Below are 24,701 nucleotides of genomic sequence, written 5' to 3' on the forward strand. Positions count from 1 at the left end.
TTCCCGTATGTTATGTACTAAAAGGATTAAAAGCTTGATTAGATTCAGGTTAAATATTTTTGGCAAGAGTATTTTATAGATGATACTATGTAATTCATATTATTACTATTATTATTATCATCATTACCATTATTTTTTGAGACAGAGTCCTGCTCTGTCCCCCAGGCTGGAGTACAGTGGTGTGATCTCAGCTCACCACAGTCTCCACCTCCTGGGCTCAAGTGATCCTCCCACCTCAGCCTCCCAAGTAGCTGGGACTACAGGTGCATGCCATCATGCCCAGCCAATTTTTTGTATTCTTTGTAGAGACAGGGTCTTGCCATGTTGCCCAGGCCTGTCTTGAACTCCTGAGCTCAAGTGATCCACCCACCTCAGCCTACCAAGGTACAGGGATTACAGGTGTGAGCTATTGCGCCCAGCCTTATTTCATATTATATCACCACAGGAAGCACATCCTGTCAGGTTGTCCTGCAATTGTTGATTTTTTTTTTTTTAGACGGAGTCTTGCTCTGTCACCCAAGCTGGACTGCAATGGTGTGATCTCAGCTCACTGCAACCTCACTCCCAGGTTCAAGTGATTCTCCTGCCTCAGCCTCCCCAGTAGCTGGGATTACAGGCACCCACCACCGCACATGGCTAATTTTTGTATTGTTAGTAGAGACAGAGTTTCGCCATGTTGGCCAGGCTGGTTTCGAACTCCTGACCTCAGGTGATCTGCCCACCTTGGCTTCCCAAAATGCTGAGATTACAGGCATGAGCCACTGCACCCGGCCGCAATTGTTGATTTTAACAGTTTTGTTACTTGCTTCTTATGGTGACTGCCATATCTCCTAATTTTGAAATACGTTAATTTTTCTTTTTGTAATTTTAAGTAATCTGTGAAGTAATATTTTTGCACCTTGTAAATATCCTGTCCTCTAATATCCTTTTACCTAATGGTTATCCACTGATTAATATTTGACTGAATCTTTTATTTCACTGGTCACAGAATGATTTTTCTAATTCTGTCATTTTTTTCTACATTTATTAGCTAGCATTTTCTGTAAAGAACTATTTTCCCTCATCAACTGGAGGATAAACCAATTTCTTCTAAAAAGGCAGGATAAATGCTTAATTCATTCCCTTTAATTGGCAGTTTTCAGATTCAGAAGTGAGTGTTAATAATGATCACTAGTGGTGGCAAATGTGGGTCTGCCTCCTCCTAGGGGCTTGTGAGTATTTTTTAGTGTTTTACAATTAATTACAGATATGTTTTTTTCCATTGTTATTTTTGGTGCTCACATTATTTCAAGTTTGGCCAGTGTGCGTCCCCTTCAGACTGGTTCCTTTGTCTTTTGACATGACATCTTTGAACACTTCCTTGCTTTCTGGTACAATCAACCAGCAATAAAGGGGAAAAAAGAATAGAATAGAAATTATCAGTGTATCTGGCCGAGTGTGGTAGCTCATGCCTGTAATCCCAGCACTTTGGGAGGCTGAGATGGGTGCATCATGAGGTCAGGAGTTTGAGACCAGCTTGGCCAACATGGTGAAACCTTGTCTCTACTAAAAATACAAAACTTAGCCAGGCATGGTGGCACGTGCCAGCTACTCAGGAGGCTGAGGCAGGAGAATTGCTTGAACCCAGGAGGCAGAGGTTGCAGTGAGCCGAAGTCGCGCCACTGCACTGCAGCCTGGGCGACAGAGCAAGACTGTCTCAAAAAAATAAATAAATAAAATAAAAAATAAAAAAAAGAAATTATCAGTGTATCATACTTAAGAAAGATAAGTATTGTTTTTCGCAACTTGTTTTAGTTAGAAACCTGTATTTTCTGGGTTGTAGCGTAAGCTGTATCTTCTCCTATCCATCATGGTCAAAAAAGTTTGAAAGCACTGGTAGAAAGTTTGTGATGTACTCCTGTTCTAGCACTGGTTTGAATTTGTCTGTCTGCAATGTTATTTCATGGGCAAGGAGTCAAGGAGGATATTGAGTCAGGGTGCCCTTCTCACCATTTTCTTGACATTCTGTGAAGGACTCTGTGAGGCACCTTAGCCCCCTTGACTTTTGGGAATGAGTGGATTCTTCATCCCTATCAACTTTGATTTCAGTAAGACAGTTCTATTTAGATGGTTGTTTCTGGATGAATCAGCTTTTGCCAGGCAGAGATTAATTTGAGCCTATTTGAGTCGTTATAATCCTGGAAAATATTAGAGTAAGTATTCTTCCCCAAGGAAATAAGAATTGTGGAAGTAATTATGACTGATTAGTCACTTTGCACCTTATCCCTTTTATGTGATGCTATACAGATTGTTTAGACATATCATGTTAGACATGGCCACCCTTTTGAATCATCTTGGTGAGCTGAGGGAATCATTTGTCCTCGAAAGACTCCAAAAGAGCATCTTCTCCAGGAACTTTTCTGTTAGTGGAAGTTCAACAAATATTTGTTGATTACTTACTATGTGCCAGGAATGGAACTAGGTTCTAGGGACCTAGTTTTCAAGGAGACTGACACAGTTCCTGTTCTCATAGTTTATGGTCTAGTGGGCTGGTGATTTGAGAAGCTCTGGAATTTGAGCAGACAACTGGGCACTAGTTTGAAGTCTGCCAGTTTCCACACGTGACCTCAGGAAATTGTTGTATGCTTTGGTTTGCTGAAAGAGGTTCTAGGATGGTCAAAAGAATAGCATTGGTGTTGTCCACATTGTCTGTCCCACCTCCACCCTGTGCCCTAGCCCTGCCTGCTTGGCAGTGACCCTGGAAATTCTGTGCATGGCAGCTTCATTAGCTGCTTTTAGGGCCTTGAATGTCTTATAGTTGATTAGTCTATTAAAAAAATTTTTTTCACCTATAATATGTTCTATGATATGATTAGTCTCTTTATATTGGCCTTTGATTAATCAGTCTGTGCATCACAGACTGACCACATCACAGACGGACCACAACTGACCACAGTTGAACCATAGGATAAGTTATCAATGGCTGATTGTTTTTTCTAATAAAATTCAACTTTGCATTTGAGTCCTCTTTGGCTTGGGCTTCTGACACAATTTTTAGGACATTGAAGTCTACAGGTGCAAAACAAAGATTTTTTTTTTTTTTTTTTTTTTTTTTTTTTGAGAGGGAGTCTCACTCTGTCGCCCAGGCTGGAGTACAGTGGCGTGATCTTTGCTCACTGCAACCTCTGCCTCCCGGGCTCAAGTAATTATCCTGCCTCAGCCTCCCAAGTAGCTAGGATTACAGGCACCCACCACCACGCCAGACTAATTTTTGTATTTTTAGTAGTGACAGGGTTTCACCATGTTGGCCAGGCTGGTCTTGAACTCCCAACCTCAGGTGATCTGCCCGCCTTGGCCTCCCAAAGTGCTGGGATTACAGGTGTGATCCACCGCGCCAGGACTTTTTTTTTTTTTTTTTTGAGACAGAATCTTGCTCTGTTGCCCAGGCTGGAGTGCAGTGGTGCAATCTCCTGCCCTCAAGTGATCCACCGGCCTCAGCCTCCCAAAGTGCTGGGATTACAGGCATGAGCCACTGCGCCCAGCCAAAAACAGATTTTAGTAGCTGTTTACCTTATGTTGCTAAAAGAATGAGGAAAGCTGTTTTTTCCAGCCAGGGTCTAATAGTCCCAGTTCACAAATAACAAAAGTGTTTTTTAGTAGCAGCCTACTACCTTTAGCCCAAGGGTCTCATGTGAGGAAAGTAGTACCAAAACCCTTGTAACTTTGAACAGGATTTAGCTTCATAATCAATAGGACATTTCATCATATATTTGTCTTTTGAATCCCAGAGAAAGCACCTAGAAGTAGCCTTTGGGAGCATTGAGACCTCAGAGAGACCGTCCCCTTGTGTAGGAATAGTATTCCTAGGATTTTCAAGGGTAGAAAGAGGTGGTGAGGCAGTGAAACAGTTAAACAGTGGTTAAGAACTTTCTAAAAGAGAAAGTTGGAGTGAATGTTGGAGTACAAATGTAGTCCACAGAAAGACCTGTGACCTGTCATTTGCTTGAATGGCTTATCGTGTTCTGAATTTAAAGTGCAATTCTTTCTCCTTTGCCTCTTTTTTTCTGGGATGAATCTATATCCAAGTTACATTATTTAATACCTACTATAGCTAAATACTTTTTGTGACCAGAATCTGTTGACTCTGATAGGATCCTTGTTCCCTCTGGCCTGGGAAAAAAAGTTCTTGGTTCAGTCCACCTGGACAGAAGCATTGTAGGGAAAATAGTCAAAGGAAAATGGACTTCGGTTCTCAGACTCCAAGTAGGTTTCATTAATCCTCCCAAGTGAGCCAAGACTGCATCTTAATCAGTTTCATTTCAGGGGTTTTAAATAATGTTTCTGGGCTGGGCGTGGTGGCTCACGCCTGTAATCCCAGCACTTTGGGAGGCCGAGGCAGGTGGATCACCTGAGGTTAGGAGTTCTAGACCAGCCTGGCCAACATGGTGAAACCTCGTCTCTATTAAAAATATGAAAATTAGCCGGGCATGGGTGTGAGCGCCTGTAATCCCAGCTACTGGGGAGGCTGAGGCAGGAGAATCGCTTGAACCTGGGAGGCAGAGATTGCTGTGAGCTGAGATCGCGCCACTGCACTCCAGCCTGGGCAACAGAGGGAGACTCCATCTCCAAAAAAAGGCCTGGCGCGGTGGCTCATGCCTGTAATCCCAGCACTTTGGGAGGCCGAGGCAGGCGGATCACGAGGTCAGGAGATCGAGACCATCCTGGCTAACACGGTGAAACCCCGTCTCTACTAAAAAAACAAAAAATTAGCTGGGCATGGTGGCGGGCGCCTATAGTCACAGCTACTCAGGAGTCTGAGGCAGGAGAATCGCTTGAACCTGGGAGGTGGAGGTTGCAGTGAGCTGAGATTGCACCACTGCACTCCAGCCTGGGCGACAGAGCTAGACTCTGCCTCAAAAAAAAAAAAAAAAAAAATGTTTCTGTTGCCAAGGTTCTATAAGGAAGAAAATGAGTAGTGCTTGCCTTTGGTAGAACTGCTTTTTATTTAGAGAATGGGAGATGGTGCCAGGGTCCTAAGTAATCCTGGGTAGGCCGTAGGCTCAATAGTCAACAAAATGGGTTGTGTGCATGTAGTAAAGGAAGGTAGAGAATGGGAAATATTTGGGTTGGTAATAGTCTAACAAAAGCTCCAAAGGGAAGCAAAAAGTTGGCTACTAGAGGTTGTTTTACTGCTATTTAGAATGTGAATTCATCCCTATTTCCTTTTTACCTAATTGGTATCAGGACATTGAATCAAATGAACAGATGGTGAATTTTCTTGAATTTTTATTTTGAAATAATTTCAAATTTAAAGGTGCAAGAATAATAGGTCTCCCATATGTCCTTTTGCTACTTACACACACACACACACACACACACACATGCACACACGTATGTATGTATGTATGTATATATAGACATAAAATTATTTTTTGGCTGGGCACAGTGGTTCACATATATAATTCCAGCACTTTGGAAGGCCAAGATGAGAGGATCACTTGAGCTCAGGAATTTGAGATTATCCTGGGCAACATAGGTAGACTCCATCTCTACAAAAAATTAAAAAGCCAGGTGTAGTGGCATGTGCCTGCTGTTCCAGCTACTTGGGAGGCTGAGGTAAGAGGATCACTTAAATCTGGGAGGTGAAGGCTGAAGTGAGCTGTGATCATGCCACTGCATTCCACCATGGGTGACAGAGTTAGACCCTGTCTCAAAAAAAGAAAAGTACATAAATAAATAAATTTTTCTAAATCATTTGAGAGTAGGTTATATACATTGTGACTTTTTTTTTTTTTTTTTCAGACAGTCTCGCTCTGTCACCCAGGCTGGAGTGCAATAGCGTGATCTCGGCTCGCCTCCCGGGTTCAACCGATTCTCCCTGCCTCAGCCTCCTGAGTAGCTAGGATTACAGGCGCCCGCCACCACGCCCAGCTAATTTTTGTATTTTTAGTAGAGACAGGGTTTCGCCATGATGGCCAGGCTGGTCTCGAACTCATGACCACAGGTGATCCGCCCACCTCGGCCTCCCAAAGTGCTAGGATTACAGGCGTGAGCCACCGCACCCAGCCTATCATGATCTTTTATCCCTTAATACTTCAGTGCATATTTCCTAAGAACAAGGATATTCTCTTACTAATTTAAGTATAGTTATCAAATTCAAGAAATTTAGCATTGATACAATAATTTACTATTCATATTCCAATTTTGTCAATAAACTTTTATTATTTGTTTTTTTTTTCCCCTTCAGCCAAGGATCACAAATTACATTAGTTGTCATGTTTCTTTAGTCTCCTTTAATCTGGGACCGTTCTTTAGCTTCTCTTTATGCTTCATGACATTAGCATTAAAAACATTTTTTTAAAATTTTTTCAGCCAGTGGTTTATGCCTGTAATTCTAGCGTTTTGGGAGGCCAAGGCAGGAGGGTTGCTTGAGGCCAGGAGTTTGAGACCAGCTTTGGCAACATAGTGAGAACTCATTGCTTCAAAAAATAAAAAAAATTAGCTGGGCATGGTGGCGTGTGCCTGTAGACCCAGCTACACAGGAGGCTGAGGTGGGAGGACTGCTTGAGCCCAGGATTTGGAGGCTGCGGTGAGCTATGATCATGCCACTGCACTCCAGCCTGGGTGATTAAGAAAACAAACAAAAAAACATTAAACAAAAACACTTTTTTTTTTTTTTAGAGTTATGGAGTTATCTGTAACTCCATAACTGTTTACAGAGTCTGGTGGTGGGATCGTAGCTTACTGCAGCCTAGAACTCCCAGCCTCAACTGGTCCTCCTGCCTTGGTCTTCCAAAGTGATGGAATTACAGGCATGAGCCACCACAGCCAGCTGACATTGACATTTTTTATAACTACAGACCAGTTCATGTCTGTGTTCTTTCTTTTTAAAAAATTGATCCATAATAATTATACTTATGTATTGGTTACATGTGATATTTTGATACATGAGTACAATGTGTAATGATTGTATTTAGGATATCTATCACCTCAAACATTTGTCGTTTCTTTGTGTTGGGAGCATTTCAAATCTTCTCTTATAGCTATTTGGAAATATACAGCAAATTATTGTTAACTATAGTCTCCCTAATTTATTTATTTCTTTCAAGAATATTTCTCATTTTGGGTTTGTCTGATGTTTTCTTATGGTTAGATTCAGGTGGTGTGTGTCTATCGTGAATCTGTAATATATACCACTACTGATATAGGGTCCTTCTCAGGGTATCACAACTGCAGGTGCTGTTCATTGGTGATACTAATTTTGATCATCTGGTCAAGTGTTAATCTGATTTATTTACTGTGTAGATGTTATTTCCCCTTGCAACTAATAAGCAATCTGTAGGGAAACATTTGAAGATCATACTCCTCTTTAAACTTTCCCTCTAATACCTAACATACATTGATAATTCTTGCCTGAACCAATTTCTGGTTGCAGTTATGGTGAAATTTGAGTGGTTGCTTAAAATACTTGTTCTTAGGTGGACACAAACTGTCTTTCTAGCTTGCTTCTGTTTGTTTCTCTTCCTATAAGAAACACAATTGCATACCCTAAAGATCTATATTTTTTTATGTCTAAATCTAATAACTAAAAAGAGTTTGAAAATTGGAAAAAGGTTTGGCTCAATGAGGCTTGACTTGGAACTTGGTAATTTCCTAGAATGGCCACATCACCCAGTGGAATTTGTTCTCCACTCAACCAACAGCATAAGTGCTTTTTCTCTAAGCCAGACTGACAACAGCCATGTGAAGTGGATTCTTTTTTTAAAATTTACTCCCTCTTTTAATAAGTGGGATTTGCTATGAATTCATCATTATATTTCAGCTTTTGTTCTCAAATCTATTTTAATAGCTTGATTCATCTTATTAAGCACTTCCACTTAAGCTTTAACAAAATCCATAAAGTTTGGAAATGCCCATTGTCCAGGAGCTTTAAGAGAGAAAAGGTTAGGAGAAACGTTTTCCTATTCTCCTTTTCTATCATTTTTTTCTTTCCTTCCCTCTTATTTTTCTGTATTTTTTCCTTGTGCCTTTCCTTTCATTCCTTTGAAGCATGATTAGGATGCATGACTGAGCCTCCAAAAGCAGAGAGAAAAAGAAGTATTGCTTCTTGAGACTCAGGTTTTTTATTGTTATTACTACGGAGAATAGGCTAATGATATGATAATTATGACCATTACTAATGAATGCCTTATCAGCTATCAGTTGTTTCTTCGAGGGAACCTTGCCCTCAAAAAAAGTGGCTTACGCCTGTAATGACCAGCACTTTGGGAGGGCGACGCAAGAGGATTGCTTGAGCTCAGGAGTTTGAAACCAGCCTGAGTAACTAGTGAGACCTCATCTCTACTAAATTTTTTTTTGTTTTAATTAGCCAGGCATGGTGGCACACACCAGTAGTCCCAGCTACTTGAGAGGCTAAGACAGGAGGATCTCTTGAACCCCAGAAATCAAGGCTGCAGTGAGTAATAATGGCACCACTGCACTCTAGCCTGGGTGACAGAGGAGTCCCTGTCTTAAAAAAAAAGAGAGAGAGAGAGAGAGAGAGAAATAAGTAGAGACAAAAGAAAACAACTAGAGAGTCAGAAAGAGGAAAGGGGCAGAAGCAAAGAACTTGGGGATGGGGAGGCAAGGGTAGGAGAGAAGGACAGAGAATACAGAACTCCTAAAATAGGAAAATGGGAGTCAGCTCTAACATTTACCTTTACCCAGTCCAGTGTGTGGGTTTTCCCCTTTCAGTAGAATGTTCTATGAGATAGGATGAGATGGGGTGAATGAAATTGTCCCATCCTTGACTCCTTGGATCTGTTTACATGGAACTGAAGGTTTTACCCTGTAATGTGACTTGATAGCCTGATCCTAGTGGGTTGGGTAGGAAGAGGCTATTAAGTGATGTTTTTTGGCTTGCTAGCATTAACAGAGTTATTTTTAACCTCCCATTTCAATCTCTTCGTTGTTCAGGTTCCTCTGCTGGCTACCATGAGAGCAGTCAAAATTAGCAACTATATAAAATGAAGTACCTCTTGTCTCCCCAGTCACTTCCAAAATAAACAGGGAGTAATACTGTCCATATTTTGTCTCACTTTACTCTGAAGGCTAGCAATAGAGGAAGCATGGATTAGTGTGTAGTGATTTCCAGGCTCTGCCCTCTGGACAGATTCCCCTCTGAGTGCTCCAGTTGAGTGACAGGACCATGTGGCAGGAGTGCAGCTGGAAGTATATCATCGGCAGATTTGGGTTGGGTAAATATAGCAGGAGCAGGATGTCAGTGTGGGAGATGGATTGTTCTGGGAAAGGAAGTGTTGTCTTTCGTCTGAGAAACAATTTCCTGCACTTCTGGGACTTTTGCTTTCTTCTTTTTCTTTTTTTTCCCAGGGCAGAGCAGGAGTTGGCAGGGGATGGGTACACTTGCTGAATTCTATCTCTGGATGTCTGCATGTTTCTACATTTGAAGTTGGGAGTAGAGATCAGATCTGTTTCAGCCAGTTAGGAAATGGACCTAATAAATTATCGTACCCATGCCTTAAGTTTCACTTTTTGAAGTTTTAAATTAAAGCACCTATCTGCTTAAAGCCTCTTTTTAAAAAGTTACTGTTCTTTTAGTGAAATAGACGGGTTGAGAGGCAAAAATAATTACGTAAAGAAAATCAACTCTATTGCAAGTCAGACATGAGGCACCAGCTGGCAGGAAACAGCTGGGATATTTCTGGGGGCTAGACTCTTCCACACCAGCACTTAACTCTTCAAGTGATCTCTGTTATCTGAGCTACTTAAGATAGCTACCTACCTTACCAACAATCTGCATAAAATACTAAATCTACTAAATTATGTGATATTTTACAATTGACTAGAACTTTATAATTTATAAAGTGGTTTTTCATTATAGCCTTTCAATTTTAGAATCTATAAAGCACATAAATTATAATCTATAAATTATATTTTTATAAATTATCTATAAATTATATTTATATAAATTGTTATATTATAACTTAGACTCATACATAATCTATAATAGATTATTTCTATAAACATATTTATAGAAGAGTTGTAAAGAAGTTCTCATCTATCCAATGCCCAGTTTCCCCTGTTATTAACATCTTACATTAATATGACACATTTGTCACAATTAATGAACAAATATTGATTCATCATTAATTAAAGTCCATACTTTATTCAGATTTCATTAGGTTTTTACTTAATGGCCTTTTTCTGTTCAAGGATTCCATCTAGGATACCACATTACATTTAGTCATCACATCTTGTTAGGTTCCACTTGGCTGTAACAGTTTGCCTGTATTCTTTTTCTTTTCTTTTTTCTTTCTTTTCTTTTTTTTTTTTTTGAGACAGAGTCTCGCTCTGTCGCCCAGGCTGGAGTGCAGTGGCGCGATCTTGGCTCACTGCAAGCTCCGCCTCCCAGGTTCCTGCCATTCTCCTGCCTCAGCCTCCTGAGTAGCTGGGACTACAGGCGCCCACCACCACACCCGGCTAATTTTTTTTTTTTTTGTATTTTTTAGTAGAGATGGGGTTTCACCGTGTTAGCCAGGATGGTCTCAATCTCCTGATCTTGTGATCCACCCGCCTCGGCCTCTCAAAGTGCTGGGATTACAGGTGTGAGCCACCGCGCCCGGCCGCCTGTATTCTTTTCAAGTTTCACAAAAACTCACAAGATAGACTGTGCCTTTATTAATATTCCCCTTTTACAGATAAAACTCAGGTTCCAGAAAAATTAAGTAACATTTTCAAGGTTATACAGTAAAAGCTTCTTTTAAAGTGTGATTATGATTTGGAAAAAGGCGATGAGGTTATTTATTTGCTTTTCACGTGAATAAGGGCAGACTTACAGCTAACCTTCAGGTGGGCCATTTACTGAAGAGGAACAAGAGACAGAGGTGAGTCTAGCTTGTTCCTGGACTCTTCTGTCTTGCTGGAGACAAATTAACATTATTATTTTAATCACAATTATTTTGGGAAAACCCCTTTCTCTTTGATTCTGCTATGTCTACCAAAGGAACTGATGGCAGAAAATCCTGAGTTAGCCTTGTTCCCTGGCAACAGACTTCAGGCTGCTTACTGGTCCCTGTTGTTGGATACCAGGTTCAGTAGGAAAGTCTGCTGAGAGTATAGCATGAACACTAACCCAACTAGCCTATTTCCAGCACGTGTGGTGTTAACTATCTGGGAATAGGAACATGAGTTTTTAAATTCCAGTCTCTAATTGGGTAGGCTGAAGTTCTGGCTTGGAGTAAGGAGATTCACAGAACTGCAGTGCTAAGAGATAGTAGAAAAATTTAAAAATTCAATAAGACATGGCACTTAACTGACTCTGAATGCTCTGTCCGGAGGGATGAGTAAAGGGGAGAGGTGAGAGGAGGTAAAGTAGCGGGTTACTAATGATCCTAGATACTATTAAAAGATTATCACAAGGAGGTGGAAACTATTGAGGTACAAACCATCAGATCTTAAGGTAAGGAGTCACTCATCTTGCCCAGAGAAGTAGTAGTGAAGATAGTACCTGGATCCTAAAAGGTAACTTTTAAAGTACTTCAACCTAAGATGACAGAGGGTAGGCAGTTTATTGATACCCTTAACAACCACTTGTTAGTAGAGCCATTTTAATTAATGGGAAAGGGGATCATTCTCCGTTTATGCTTTTATTATATGTAGCTATGAGCATAGAAGCTGTGTTTGGACCCTCTGGTGACTATTGCCCTCTTCTAGTTGTGTCCAGGCACAGGTAAATTCTTGAGGCCAGGAAGGGCCTGGCTTTATCTCCAAAAGGAAGCTGTGGAAATAGCAATGAGCAAAACAATGAGAAAGAGCTTTAGAAAATTTGCAAATATTGTGTATCTTCATGGCATGATGAAGTGGGATTAGGACAGGGGAGAAAGTATAAACCACCAATTATAGGAGTCTTTAAGGGCTTGGGTGACTGAGGCCTTCTGCTAGGAGGCTGGGAGGTTGTTGATGACAGCAAAGATGTAACAGGTATTGAATACTAGAGGATAGACCTCATACTCTGAAAATGCTTTTGCCTCAACAATTTGAAAGAGAAATATGAAAGACAAAGTGACAATATGAAGAATGACTATTCAAAGTGCTTCTACCAGTAAGTCTTGTCTGTTGGCAAGTTTTAACCTGTAGGTAGGGGAAAAACGTGGGAGGATCTCTTATTCAGAATGCAAAACAGGAGACAGTGAAGTACCTGTGTTTCCAAAGAACTCCGAATTGAGCTGTGGTGGAAGAGGAGGAAATTTCTTACTGTGGTCTTGTATAATGTGAAATCTTTGTGAAGTCTCAATAGATGTTAAGTCTCCAAGGAGGGGAGACTTTTTAGCTGCTAAAGAAGCTTAGGTTCAGTGAGCCTCCAGTGGGAATACAGACATAGACGTCCACTGACATTTCTGCAACCAGTTTTGGTGAGTGGAAAGCAACTAGGTAAGTTTCACTTTTTGCAAGAATCCCAAGTGACCCTTTGCACTATGGACTGAGGTACCTGCTTGTCTCTACAAAAACTATAGAGGAGACACGACAGGCTTTAACTGGAAATTGTTCATGGTTTCTTAGAAGGGAAGCTCATATCCTGTTAAAGCACTTTAGAAAAATAAAGTCAAATTAGAGATAAGAGGATCTTTACTTGTATTTTCAAGAGCTTTTTTAAAAAACTGAAGTGAAATGCATATAACATAAAATTAACCATTTTAAAGTGAAACAATATAGTGGCATTTAGTACATTCACAATGTACCCTATCTAATTCCAAAACATTTTCATCGCCCCAAAAGGAAATCCTGTACCCATTAAGCAGTTGCTCCACACTTTCCCTTCCCCTCCAGCCCCTGGTAGCCATCCATCTGCATTCTGTCTCTGTAAATTTACCTATTCTGGATATTTCATATAAATGGAATCATATAATATGTGTCCTTTTATGTCTGGCTTCTTTCTCTTAGCATAATGTTTTTGAGGGTCATCCATGCTGTAACATGAATCAGCACTTCAATTCTTTTTAGGATTGAATAATATTCCATTGTGTGTGTATACCACAATTTGTTCATCCATTCATTCGTTGATGGACATTTGGACCATTTCTTCCTTTTGGCAATTATGAATAGTGCTGCTAGGGACATGTGTATACATGTATTTGAGTATCTGTTTTCAATTCCTTTGGATATATACCTAGGACTGGAATTGCTGGGTTGTATGGTAATTCTATGTTTAACTTTTTGAGTAACTGCCAAACAGTTTTCTATAGCAGCTGAACCATACTACATTCCCACCAAGAATGCATGAGGGTTCCAGTTTTTCCGCATCCTTACCAACACTTGTTATTTGTGTTTGTTTTGTTTTATATAGCTTCAAAAGCTTTTGAGACTGGATAGGACTTTGATGATAAAGCTCCTTTCAGGTCTTATGGATCTTCTGACATGCTTCTCTCCTGAAATAACTGGATGGCTCTTCTGGGCCAAATAAGGTATTGAGATTTTAGCTTTTATACTAAAGGATTACTTTCTTCCAAAATTTCCAATAAACAGCGAACACAGATTTTACAGATTTTACAGGTTGCCTAGACAGGGTCGAATTCTGACTTGCCAAAAGAAGAGTGTCAGTTACACTTTGGGTCTTGAAAGTAGATGATGGTATTTCTGGTTTCATTTGCCATCAGAATCCTGGACCAGGCAATAGGCTAGGTCTTGCTGACTATACAGGTAGCTCAGTTTGCTTACACATTACCAGCTTATCTTCCTGCTCACAGAATAACCTTCTGGGGAGGGAGTTAACTCTAATTCCTGATAAATGACTGGCTCTTTTTAAGGTGCTATATAAACTGAATTTGGATGTTACTTCGCCACTACTTACAATGATACTATGTACAGATATTAAAACTCTAATGTTCCCATCTCCTTACTGTGTGGCTGGGTGGTTTCTTATTTTGATGTCTTCTACATCAAACTGTTGAGTTCCTAAGTGTTCTCTTCTTACCCCTCTCTTTTTTAGTCTCTCAGTTTCTACTTCTTGCATCTATATATTTTGTGATTTGTCTAATAGTCACTGTGATTAATGTTTTAGTTTGTTTTTCTTTTGTGAAAATTATTTTCTTCTTGTGAAAGGTGAAAATTAGTTTCTTCTTGTGAAAGGAGAAAACTGGTACAGAAATCTAGGACGCTGGAACTTCTAGCTCTCTCCGTTTTTTCTAGAATTGTAGCTTTCCTTCTTTTTTTTTCTTTGACTGTTTTCTCCAGTTTATATGTTGAGTGGTAGGTTTTTCTAACTTTTAGAAAAAAATTATTTTGCTATTTAATGTGTTTGCTGTATCTCCTTGAAATATTATAAATCAGAATACATTTTAGTGTTTATTGCTGCCATTGGTTGCTTTAAAAAAAAAGGTTGAACCTGTTTTCAAAGTAAACAAAATTGTAGCCTCTACTTACCTTCCTCCTTTCCCCACCACAATACACAGTGTTGTTGGGTTTGCAAATTCATCCTAACCATTTGATCAAAGTCAGGCTTTGAACAAGGCTTTATAGTGAGGTGTGGTGAATGACAGGTATGTCTGGATTTGGCCTTGAGAGATTTGGGGATGTAAAAGCATAAGGGTTTTTTTTTTTTTTTTTTTTTTTCTGTCTTTCTTTCTCTTCTCCTAATGTACTGTGGTCTATAATAGGTTGAGTTGTAACATTCATTAAACCACTCCTCGCATTCCCTGTTTTCAAAGCTTATCAGGATGACTTTGATTTAGTTATTTGGAACCAAAAAGGCAGTTTGTGGAGCCTGGTCTGGAGCTGTGTAGCAGTAATATATCAGAGATCAGACTTAGGTCCCAGTGGGATTATTCCTCGGGATTTATTTGCCTGGAAGTACACACAGGAGCCAAATGGTATGTATGGAAAGCTTTGCTGGAATGCAAATTGGACACATTTTGTTGGGACCTGTAGGGGATTTTCACTGCTTCATAATTTTTCAAAGGTTTGTTATACATCAGACAGTCACTGCCTCTTCTTTAAATCTTTAAATCCCCCCTCTTTTTCCTGTTGTAAAGGTCAGATTTTTTTTGACAACTGTGTGCAGGAACAAGATTTGCTAAATCCCTTCATTTTTATTCATACAAATATCGGAATTCAGTGAGCATCAGTTATTCCAGCATTTAGAGGTAAGGAAAACTCAGGGAGAATCTTGTGAATCTCAGCTTTGTGCTAGACATATATCTCTGGGGATAAATTTGCTGCCTCAACTTTAACCCCTTGACTGCTCTGATGTGAGACGACACCCTTACAGTGGCTGCCTTGTATGTGAAACCTACCCTTAACTAACCCCCATTTATGGCTGTAGGATATGTAATATAATTACTGGGAGGGGACTGTGTTGGACTCTTCTGATGGGGCCTTTTTGGCTGTGACAAGCCTTAGATTAGTGTTGGAAGAGAAGGACAATTCATTCCCTCCAGTGGAGCCCCTTCTTTAGGCATATTTAGCTTTTAATGGTATCATAGGCAATAACCACTTTTAATTTGCAGATGATTCTTTCTCAACCAGTAGATGAAATAATGATATCAAATGGTACATTTCCCCATCAAACTTGCTTAGTTTGATGTTATGTTATTATGTTATCGATTGCTGGGTAACAAATTACCCCAACAAATTACCTCTCCTACCCATCTATTGCTGGGTAGCAAATTACCCCCCAAAATGTGGCAGCTTAAAATTAAAAAACAAAAAAAATTTCACACAGTTTCTTTTATTTTATTTTCTTTTTTTTTTTTTTTTTTTTTTTTTTTGAGATGAGGTCTCACTGTGTTTCCCAGGCTAGTCTCAAACTCCTGGGCTCAAGTGATCCTCCCACCTTGGCCTCCCAAAGTGCTGGGATTACAGGCATGAGCCACTGCACCTGGTCTATTTCACACAATTTCTAAGGGTCAGGAATCTGGGAGCTGCTTAGCTAGTGGTTCTGGCTTAGGGTCTCTCAAGATGTCAGCCAGGGCAGCAGTCATTTGAAGGGGTGGGCTGGAAGATCCATTTCCAAGTTCATTCATGTGGTTGTTGGCCAGAGGCCTCAGTTCCTCACAATGTGGGCCTCTCAATAGGACTGCTCACAGCATGGAAACTAGATTCTCCATAGGTGAATGATCTGAGAGAGAGCAGAAGCCACACTTTGTTTTCTGACCCAACCTCAGAAGTAAACCTCAGGAGTAACCATCACTCCTGCTATATTATATTAGTCACATAGACCAACCTAAATACATAAAGATGTAATCACTGGGGACATCACTGGGAGTCATCTTGGAGGCTGGCCTTGCAGGAAGTTAAATGGAAATTTTTAGATGTTCACTGGGACTTCAAGATTGATTTTTTTAATTTGAAAAATTTTGTTCTCCCCAGTCAGCCCTGTCTCCCTGTCTTCTCCCAAACCTTTATGTCTCTGAAATTGTCCAATATGTATATGGCAAATATCTCTTTCTCTTCCTTTGCTGTCTCAGCCATAAGCGCTAGTAAAAACTTTCCGTTTTTCTAAAGCAAGCCAGTAAGCATGATCGATCTACCTCCTCTACCCGTTTTGCTGGGACATCCATGGCAGCTGGTCAAAGGAGGCTTCTGCTCATGAGAGCACTTCAACTGGATTCAGATAATCCTTTGTGGTTTCTCCACCTATTTACTACTGATCCTCTAAAATTTGGTGCAAATGAACTAGACTGACTAGAGTTACAGTGTTACCATGTTTTTTTCAGACTGAGATATATAATGATATAATGATATGAGCTCTTTTTGGATTCTATCCAGGATCTCCAAAATGGAGATAAAGACCTAATGCTCGGGAGTGATTTAAAAACGAAATTACGGCCGGGCGCGGTGGCTCACGCCTGTAATCCCAGCACTTTGGGAGGCCGAGGCGGGCGGATCATGAGGTCAGGAGATCGAGACCATCCTGGCTAACAAGGTGAAACCCCGTCTCTACTAAAAATACAAAAAATTAGCCGGGCGCGGTGGCGGGCGCCTGTAGTCCCAGCTACTCGAGAGGCTGAGGCAGGAGAATGGCGTGAACCCGGGAAGCGGAGCTTGCAGTGAGCCGAGATTGCGCCACTGCAGTCCGCAGTCCGGCCTGGGCGACAGAGCGAGACTCCGTCTCAAAGGAAAAAAAAAAAAACAAAAAAAAAAAACGAAATTACTTGTCACTAGATAGATTCATCTGGTCCTTTGTATACCAGTCAGATAAGAGCCTTAGGAGTTGGCCGCATGTGGTGGCTCACGCCTGTAATTGCAGCATTTTGGAACGCTGAGGCGGGCGGATTACTTGTGGCCAGGAGTTTGAGACCAGCCTGGCTAACACAGTGAAACCCCATCTCAACTGAAAATACAAAAAAATTATCTGGGTGTGGTGGCACACGTTTGTAATCCCAGCTACTTGGAAGGCTGAGGCATGAGAATCACTTGAACCCAGGAAGCAGAGGTTACAGTGAGCCAAGATCATGCCACTGCACTCCAGTCTGGGTGACAGAGCAAAGACTCTGTCTCAGAAAAAAAAAAAAAAAAGCCTTAGGAGTTATTTACTATTCTTCACCTTTCTAGGACAAGCAAGTCGATAGCCACAGTGATGAGGACTGCACAGGCAGACCCTAAAGCTAACCAGGGACACTGTCTTGCCTCTGTGTTTGGTAATCATTCCAGCTATGCAGTTTCATTGATGTCTTTCCCTCCTTGGTACATACCTTACTCTATACCTGATAATAGAAATCCTTGTGAGAATATACTTATTCAGCTCTTGGTGACAGGAGGTGGGTGGAAGTGTGGGGCAGAGAACAGGGGTGAGGTTGTTACAATGGAGAATCAGTTTACTTTTTCAAAAATTCTGGAAGCCAGACATGGTGGCATGCGCCTGTAATCCCAGCTACTTGGGAGGCTAAGGCAAGAGGATCATTTGAGCCCAGGTGTTTGAGACTAGCCTGAGCAACATAGTGAGACCCTATCTCAAAACAAACAAAAATTCCAGAGCATCTTTGGCTTCCTAGGAAATAGCCTAAGGCTGTAAATAAACCCTGGCCTCATATTCCTGTTGTCATTTACTGGCGTAGTAGACAATTCATAACTGGGAAAATCCTTTGGGTGTTTTTTTGATGTAGGTTTTATAGAATCAGAGAGGTTCCAAAATTGTGTTTAACTGATTCTATAGAAGACTATAAAAGTAACAAAGCAGGCAAACAAGAACAAAAACCTTTGTGCCATAAAATCACTATTTAGGCCAGGTGTGGTGGCTCATGCCTGTAATTCCAGCACTTTGAGAGAGGCCTAGGCGGGAGGATTGCTTGAGCACAGGAGCTCAAGACCAGCCTGGGCAACATAGTGGGACCCCGTCTGTACAAAAAAAAATTTTAATTAGCTGGGCGTGGTGGCAAGTGCCTGTAGTCCCAGCTACTCAGGAGGCTGTGACAGGAGGATTGCTTGAGCCCAGGAGGTCAAGACTTCAAGTGAGCCATAATCATGCCACTTTCCAGCCTGGGCAACAGAGTAAGACCCTTTCTCAACAAAAACACAAAAATCACTGTTTACCTTCTCTAACCCTTATCATTATGTAAACATAATTTAATAGTTTAATCAGTATGCCTTATTATTATTTTTTCCTCTTATTCATTTAGTATCATTTTTTAAAGTATATTTTTATAGGCACTATAGAACCTTGCTGAAATTGGCTGAGGATACTCTTCAGTGGGGCCAGAAGTTCTTAGCATTATTTCATACAGAATTTTCCATGCATTTACCTAATATATTTATCATCTTTAATGACATTATAAAAATACATTGAACCAGAATGCCATAGATTAACTATCCTTTTTAAATTTTGATTCATTATATGTAGTAGAACCTTATCTCTGTGTTGATAACAGTTTTTCTTTTTCTTTTTTATATTTTTAATTTTTAATTTAATTTAAATTTTCAGACAGGGTCTCTGTCGCCCAGGCTGGAGTGCAATAGTGTGATCACAGCTCACTGCAGCCTTGACTGCCTGGGCTTAGGTGATCCTCCATCTCAGCCTCCCTGAGTAGCTGGGACTACAGGTGTGTGCCTCCACTCCTGGCTAATTTCTATATATTAATATTTTGTAGAGATGGGTTTTTGCCATGTTTCCCAGGCTAGTCTCAAACTCCTGGGCTAAAGCAATCCACCTGCCTGAGCCTCCCAAAGTGTTGGGATTACAGGCGTGAGCCACCACACCCAGCCTGCTTTTCTTTTAAATTATTTTCTCGAAGTAATAGTCCCATAAGTAGAGTGGGTTTTGTAGCTATGCTGCATCCTATATTGAGTTTTCTAACTTCTCTTTAATTTTGCTAATTTAATTGACAAAGTGATGCTTTTATAATTTGTTTCACATTTCTTTAATTACTAGCATTTTCTCAAGTGTTTTACTGTTTGGGGTTTTTCCTATTGAATTATCTGTTCTTATCTCTTGGCCACTTATTGGACAGAAGTTGGATAGGAACCTTTCGGATTTGTATTACATGTATCAGGTTCTTTCATAGCTGGATAGTGTGTTTTTTATTGCCAAGTCTCTTTTTTTTTCTTTCTATTACTATGAGCTATTCACTGCTTTGTTTGTTTGTTTGTTTGTTTGTTTGTTTTAAATAATACCCAGACTGGTCTGAGACTATGGGCTATTTCAAACCTAAATAGGTAGTGGTATTTTTTTATCCTTACAGAGAAGTGCATCAACTAGTTTATTTGCATTTGAAGTGTAGAAACGAGAGGTCCTGGCTGAACTTTTGGCATGGGAGCAGTGTGTGTGGAGAGCAGGCTGTCCATGATAGGAGGGGAGTTGAGGACAAGGCTGACACCAGGCCTATAAATACCCTAAGGTTTAGCTTTGTACTTTGAAATAGGAATTAGGTCACTTTTATTGTCTTCCCCAGACTTTTTACTGGTTGGCTGTGGAGAAAAGGCATCAGGACTTTTAGAGGAAATGTTACTGTTTCCAGCTCTCAGAAAGGTGGAAAGTGCTGATATTGGTCAGCTCTTACTCTTGTTTTCTCATTTCTGTTAGACTGAGGTGACCAAATGGAAAGCGTGGGAGTGGAGACTTGATATTTGGCTTCCTAAGTAAGAAGTGGAATTCTGAACAGCGAAAGGCCTTGCCTGTATCCCTTTGCCGTGGCACCATGCCTTGGACAGATGGATGGGGAGCTAGTTACCCAGCATCTGTCATTCTCCTTACCATTGACAAAGGTTCTCTTTTACCTTTATCATAGGCTGCTGTGTCCAGTCATTCTAACTGGGCTTTCTGCAGAGGGACCCAAACCCCTAGAACTTTTCTTTTTTTTTTTTTTTTTGAGAGGGAGTCTCGCTGTGTCGCCCAGGCTGGAGTGCAGTGGCACAATCTCAGCTCACTGCAAGCTCCACCTCTCGGGTTCATGCCATTCTCCTGCCCCAGCCTCCTGAGTAGCTGGGACTACAGGCGCCCACCACCACGCCCAGCTAATTTTTTGTATTTTTAGTAGAGACGGGGTTTCACTGTGTTAGCCAGGATGGTCTCGATCTCTTGACCTCGTGATCTGCCCGCCTCGGCCTCCCAAAGTGCTGGGATTACAGGCATGAGCCACCATGCCCGGCCCCTAGAACTTTTTCTAAGGTCCTAGTTTCTAGTATTCTCTTTGGCCTTTCCATTTTCTTCTCTAAAATAAGAAAATTCTGGAATCTCTGGGACAAACAAACAGAAAAGAAAAAAAAATTTAATGATAAAAAAAATAAGAAAATTGGACCAAACGATCTCTCAAGTATGATGTATGTATGTACTTGTTAATTAAAGACAGGGCCTTGCTGTGACGCCCAGGCTGGAGTGAGTTGCACAATCGTGCAATACTTCACTACAGCCTTGAACTCCTGGGTTCAAGCAATTCTGCTTCAGCCTCTCCAATAGCTGGGGCTACAGGTGTGTGCCACCATTCTCGGCTACTTTATTTTTTCATATTTTTAGAGATGGGGTTCTCGCCAGTTCTGCCCAGGCTGGCCTTGAACTCCTGCCTCAAGTTTTCTTCTCACCTTGGTCTCCTAAAGTGCTGGGATTGCAGGCATGAGCCACTATGCCTGGCTCAAATGATCTCTAAAGTCCCTAAAGTCCTAAGATTTTTTGGAGTTTGATGTCTTCCCACACAAGTTTGGAAATACTTTCAGAGGGATTCTATTCCATATGAATGTCATTACAATTTTAATGAAAATTTTGATGTAGCAATATTGTAGAATATATTTTAAAGAGGTAAATATACACAGTCTTCTGTGCATTTTGAGATAGTCTGACTTTATAATTTTCCTTTGTCTTTCTGTTGTCCAGTTGTCAGTTTTCAGATAAATTCTGCTTCAAACTTGTTATGTAAGTTTCTATTGGGCATTTAGTTTCAAATTACTGTTTCCAAAATCTTCGTATTTCTTTAAATTTTCAATCATTCTTAAAAATAGATTAATATTGCATGAATGTCAAGAGAACCTCTTCTATTTTCATTTTAAAATTTTAATCATTAAAATATACTGCAGTGTCTCTATATTAATTTATCTGAAGATGCATCAGTGTACAGTCAGGTGCTGCATAACAACATTTCGGTTAACAATGGACCCCATACATGATAGTGGGCCCATAAGATTATAATGGAGGTAAAAAAATTCCTATCACTTAGTGATGTTGTAGCCATCATAATGTCATAGTATAACGTATCACTCGTGTTTGTGGTGATGCTGTTGTAAACAAACCTGTGCTGCCAGTCATATAAAAGCATAGCACATAAATTATGTACAGTATATAATACTTGATAATAAATGACCATTACTAGTTTATCTATTTCATATATTATATATCATTGTTTTAGAATGTACTCTTTCTACTAATCAAGAAAAAGAGTTAACTATAAAATAGCTTTAGACAGGTCTTTCAGGAGGTATTCCAGAAAGCATTATTATCATAGGAGATGACAGCTTCATGGGTGTTATTGCCCTGAAGACCTTCCAGTGGGACAAGCTGTGGAGGTGGAAACCAGTGATATTGATGATCCTGACACTCTGTAGGCCTAGGCCAATGTGAGTGTTTGTGGCTTAGTTTTTAACAAAAAAGTTTAAAAAGTACAAAATAAAAAATTTAAAAATAGAAGAAACCTTATATAATAAAGATATAAGAAAATATTTTGTACAGCTGTAGTATGTTTTGTGTTTTTTTTTTTTTTTTTTTTTTTTGAGATGGAGTCTCACTCTGTCGCCCAGGCTAGAGTGCAGTGGCGTGATCTCTGCTCACTGCAAGCTCAACCTCCCGGGTTCACACCATTCTCCTGCCTCAGCTTCCCGAGTAGCTGGGACTACAGGCACCCACCACCACGCCCAGCTAATTATTTGTATTTTTTAATAGAGACGGGGTTTCACCGTGTTAGCCAGGATGGTCTCGATCTCCTGACCTCATGATCCACCCGCCTCGGCCTCCCAAAGTGCTGGAATTACAGGCATGAGCCACCATGCCCGGGCTGTAGTATGTATGTTTTAAGCTAAGTATTATTATAAAAGTCCAAAAGCTTAAAAAAATTTAAAAGTTATAAGGTAAATTATGGTAAGCTAAGGTTAATTAATGAAGAAAGAAAAATCTTTTTAAAAATAAATTTAATGTAGCCTAAGCATAGTGTTTATAAAGTTTGCAGCAGCATACAGCAATGTCCTAGGCCTTCACATTCACTCACTATTCACTCACTGACTTATCCAGAGCAACTTCCAGTCCTGCAGGGTCCATTCATTCTAAGTACCCAGCACAGGGTTGCCATTTTCTTTTTTTTCTTTTTCTTTTTTTTTTTTTGAGACAGAGTCTTGCTCTGTCGCCCAGGCTGGAGTGCAGTGGCGCAATCTTGGCTCACTGCAACCTTCGCCTCCTGGGTTCAAGCCATTCTCCTGCCTCAGCCTCCTGAGTAGATGGGACTACAGGCGCCTGTCACCACGCCCGGCTAATTTTTTGTATTTTTAGTAGAGATGGGGTTTCACCGTGTTAGCCAGGATGGTCTCGATTTCCTGACCATCTGCCCACCTCGGCCTCCCAAAGTGCTGGGATTACAGGCGTGAGTCACCATGCCCGGCCCATTTTGTATCTTTTATGCAGTATTTTTACTGTACTTTTTCTGTGTTTAGATATACAAATCCTTACCATTGTGTTAAAATTGCTTACAGTGTATAGTATTCAATACAGTAACAGGCTGTACAGGTTTGTAGCCTAGAAGCAATAGGCTGTACCATATAGCCTAGATATGTAGTAGGCTATACCACGTAGGTTTGTGTAAGCATACTCTATGATTTTTGCACAACAATGAAATCACCTAACAATGCATTTCTTAGAATGTATCTCTGTCCTTAAGCAATGAATGCATATCAGTTAAGCCTGTGAGGTAGGCCTGAGGATGTGGAATAGCAGACACCAATATATCCTAATCCCAAGAGGCAACTTCTTTCATCTCTTTTAGTAGATTCTTTTGGAATTTACTCCCATATTTCTAATTAACAAGTGTGTATTGCTGCTTCTTAGTTTTTCAGATTAAAGGATAGAGCTCCACTCATTTGTTTTGTTTCTCTGTCAATATTTACAAGAGTCAAGTTATCTTAGAACTGGAAGAGACTTCAGATCCTCCAGAGAACTAAACTCAAAAACTGTCAAGGGCTTGGCAGATAACTTAAATGAAAAGAATAGGGAGTAGTATGGACTGTGGCAGACTAGAATTCTGTGCCATCTAAGGACATTCAATTCAGTTTTAACTCTGCACATATCAAACAGTTGCAATATATGGACCTTGTTTGGATAGTGATTTATACAACAAACTATCTTTAAAAGTTTATGGCAGTTATAGAAATTGAATAATTGCAAATTGAGCACTAACTAAAATTTTTATATTAAAGCAATATTACTCTTTTAGATGTGATGATAATGATATTAAGGTTAAAGATGTATGAAATGATATGATAGGCAAGATTTGCTTCAAAACAATATGGGAATAGAAGGGAATAGAAGGGAAAAAACAAGATAAGCCCTAAGTTGCTAATTATTGAGGCTGGGTTTGGGATATTTGGGCGTTTGTTAGTCTGTTTACATAATTTACATTTATATAATTTTGAAAATTTTCATAAGCTTTTTTTAAAAGACTTATGTGGGTAAAACCTTGTCTCCTTCGAAGAGGAATATTAGAATGAGGAGAAAAGGAATCCAGATTAAGCGAGAATAGAGGCAGTTCTGTTAGCTATACTGATTAAGGGTTGTCACCAGAACCTTACTAGTATATTCCATTGAATAAATATGTATTTGTTATTATACATATTTATTTGTTTGGCATATTCTGTTAAGTTTATTTGTATACTCAAATAAATACTTATATCTTAAGTAGCGGACAATAACATTCATTCCAAAATGTGGTTTCACTTATTCTCAATAAACTCATTTATTGCTATTAAAAAAATAAAACACAATATAATACTAAGCAAAACACATCTATGGACCAGCCCAAATTTGTAAGCTGGCTTTCAGTTTGTGATTTCTGAGTCTATTCTCACCAGCTTGTTTCACAGAAGAAACTAAAACTTAAACCAAGGTCACATAGCTTATCAGGGGGAAAGCTAGAACTCAGGTCTCCTGATTCCCCATTCATTGCTGCTGCTTATGAAAAAAACTGCCCAACTGACTTAAATAAGAAAGAAGGGTTATGGTTTTGCCTGGCAATTGTCTCCTGTTTCCTAACCTTGACTATTTTTTT

At 40.0% G+C, this 24,701-nt stretch overlaps 1 protein-coding gene across 37 annotated transcripts in view, besides 1 other annotated feature; it reads left to right on the forward strand.

The window, feature by feature from the left end:
• The window catches only part of GBF1 (golgi brefeldin A resistant guanine nucleotide exchange factor 1), a 152,254-nt gene that overhangs the window by 40,989 nt on the left and 86,564 nt on the right, over positions 1 to 24,701 (forward strand). The window lies entirely within an intron of this gene.
• Positions 19,801 to 20,095: a silencer, noted in NCBI's record as "tiled region #13217; HepG2 Repressive non-DNase unmatched - State 16:ElonW". NCBI's record gives its function as "represses a minimal TATA promoter and a strong SV40 promoter by Sharpr-MPRA in HepG2 cells {active_cell/tissue: HepG2}" and the evidence as "EXISTENCE:reporter gene assay evidence [ECO:0000049][PMID:27701403]".

This window comes from Homo sapiens, chromosome 10, assembly GCF_000001405.40.
Source record: "Homo sapiens chromosome 10, GRCh38.p14 Primary Assembly".
Taxonomy (NCBI): domain Eukaryota; kingdom Metazoa; phylum Chordata; class Mammalia; order Primates; family Hominidae; genus Homo; species Homo sapiens.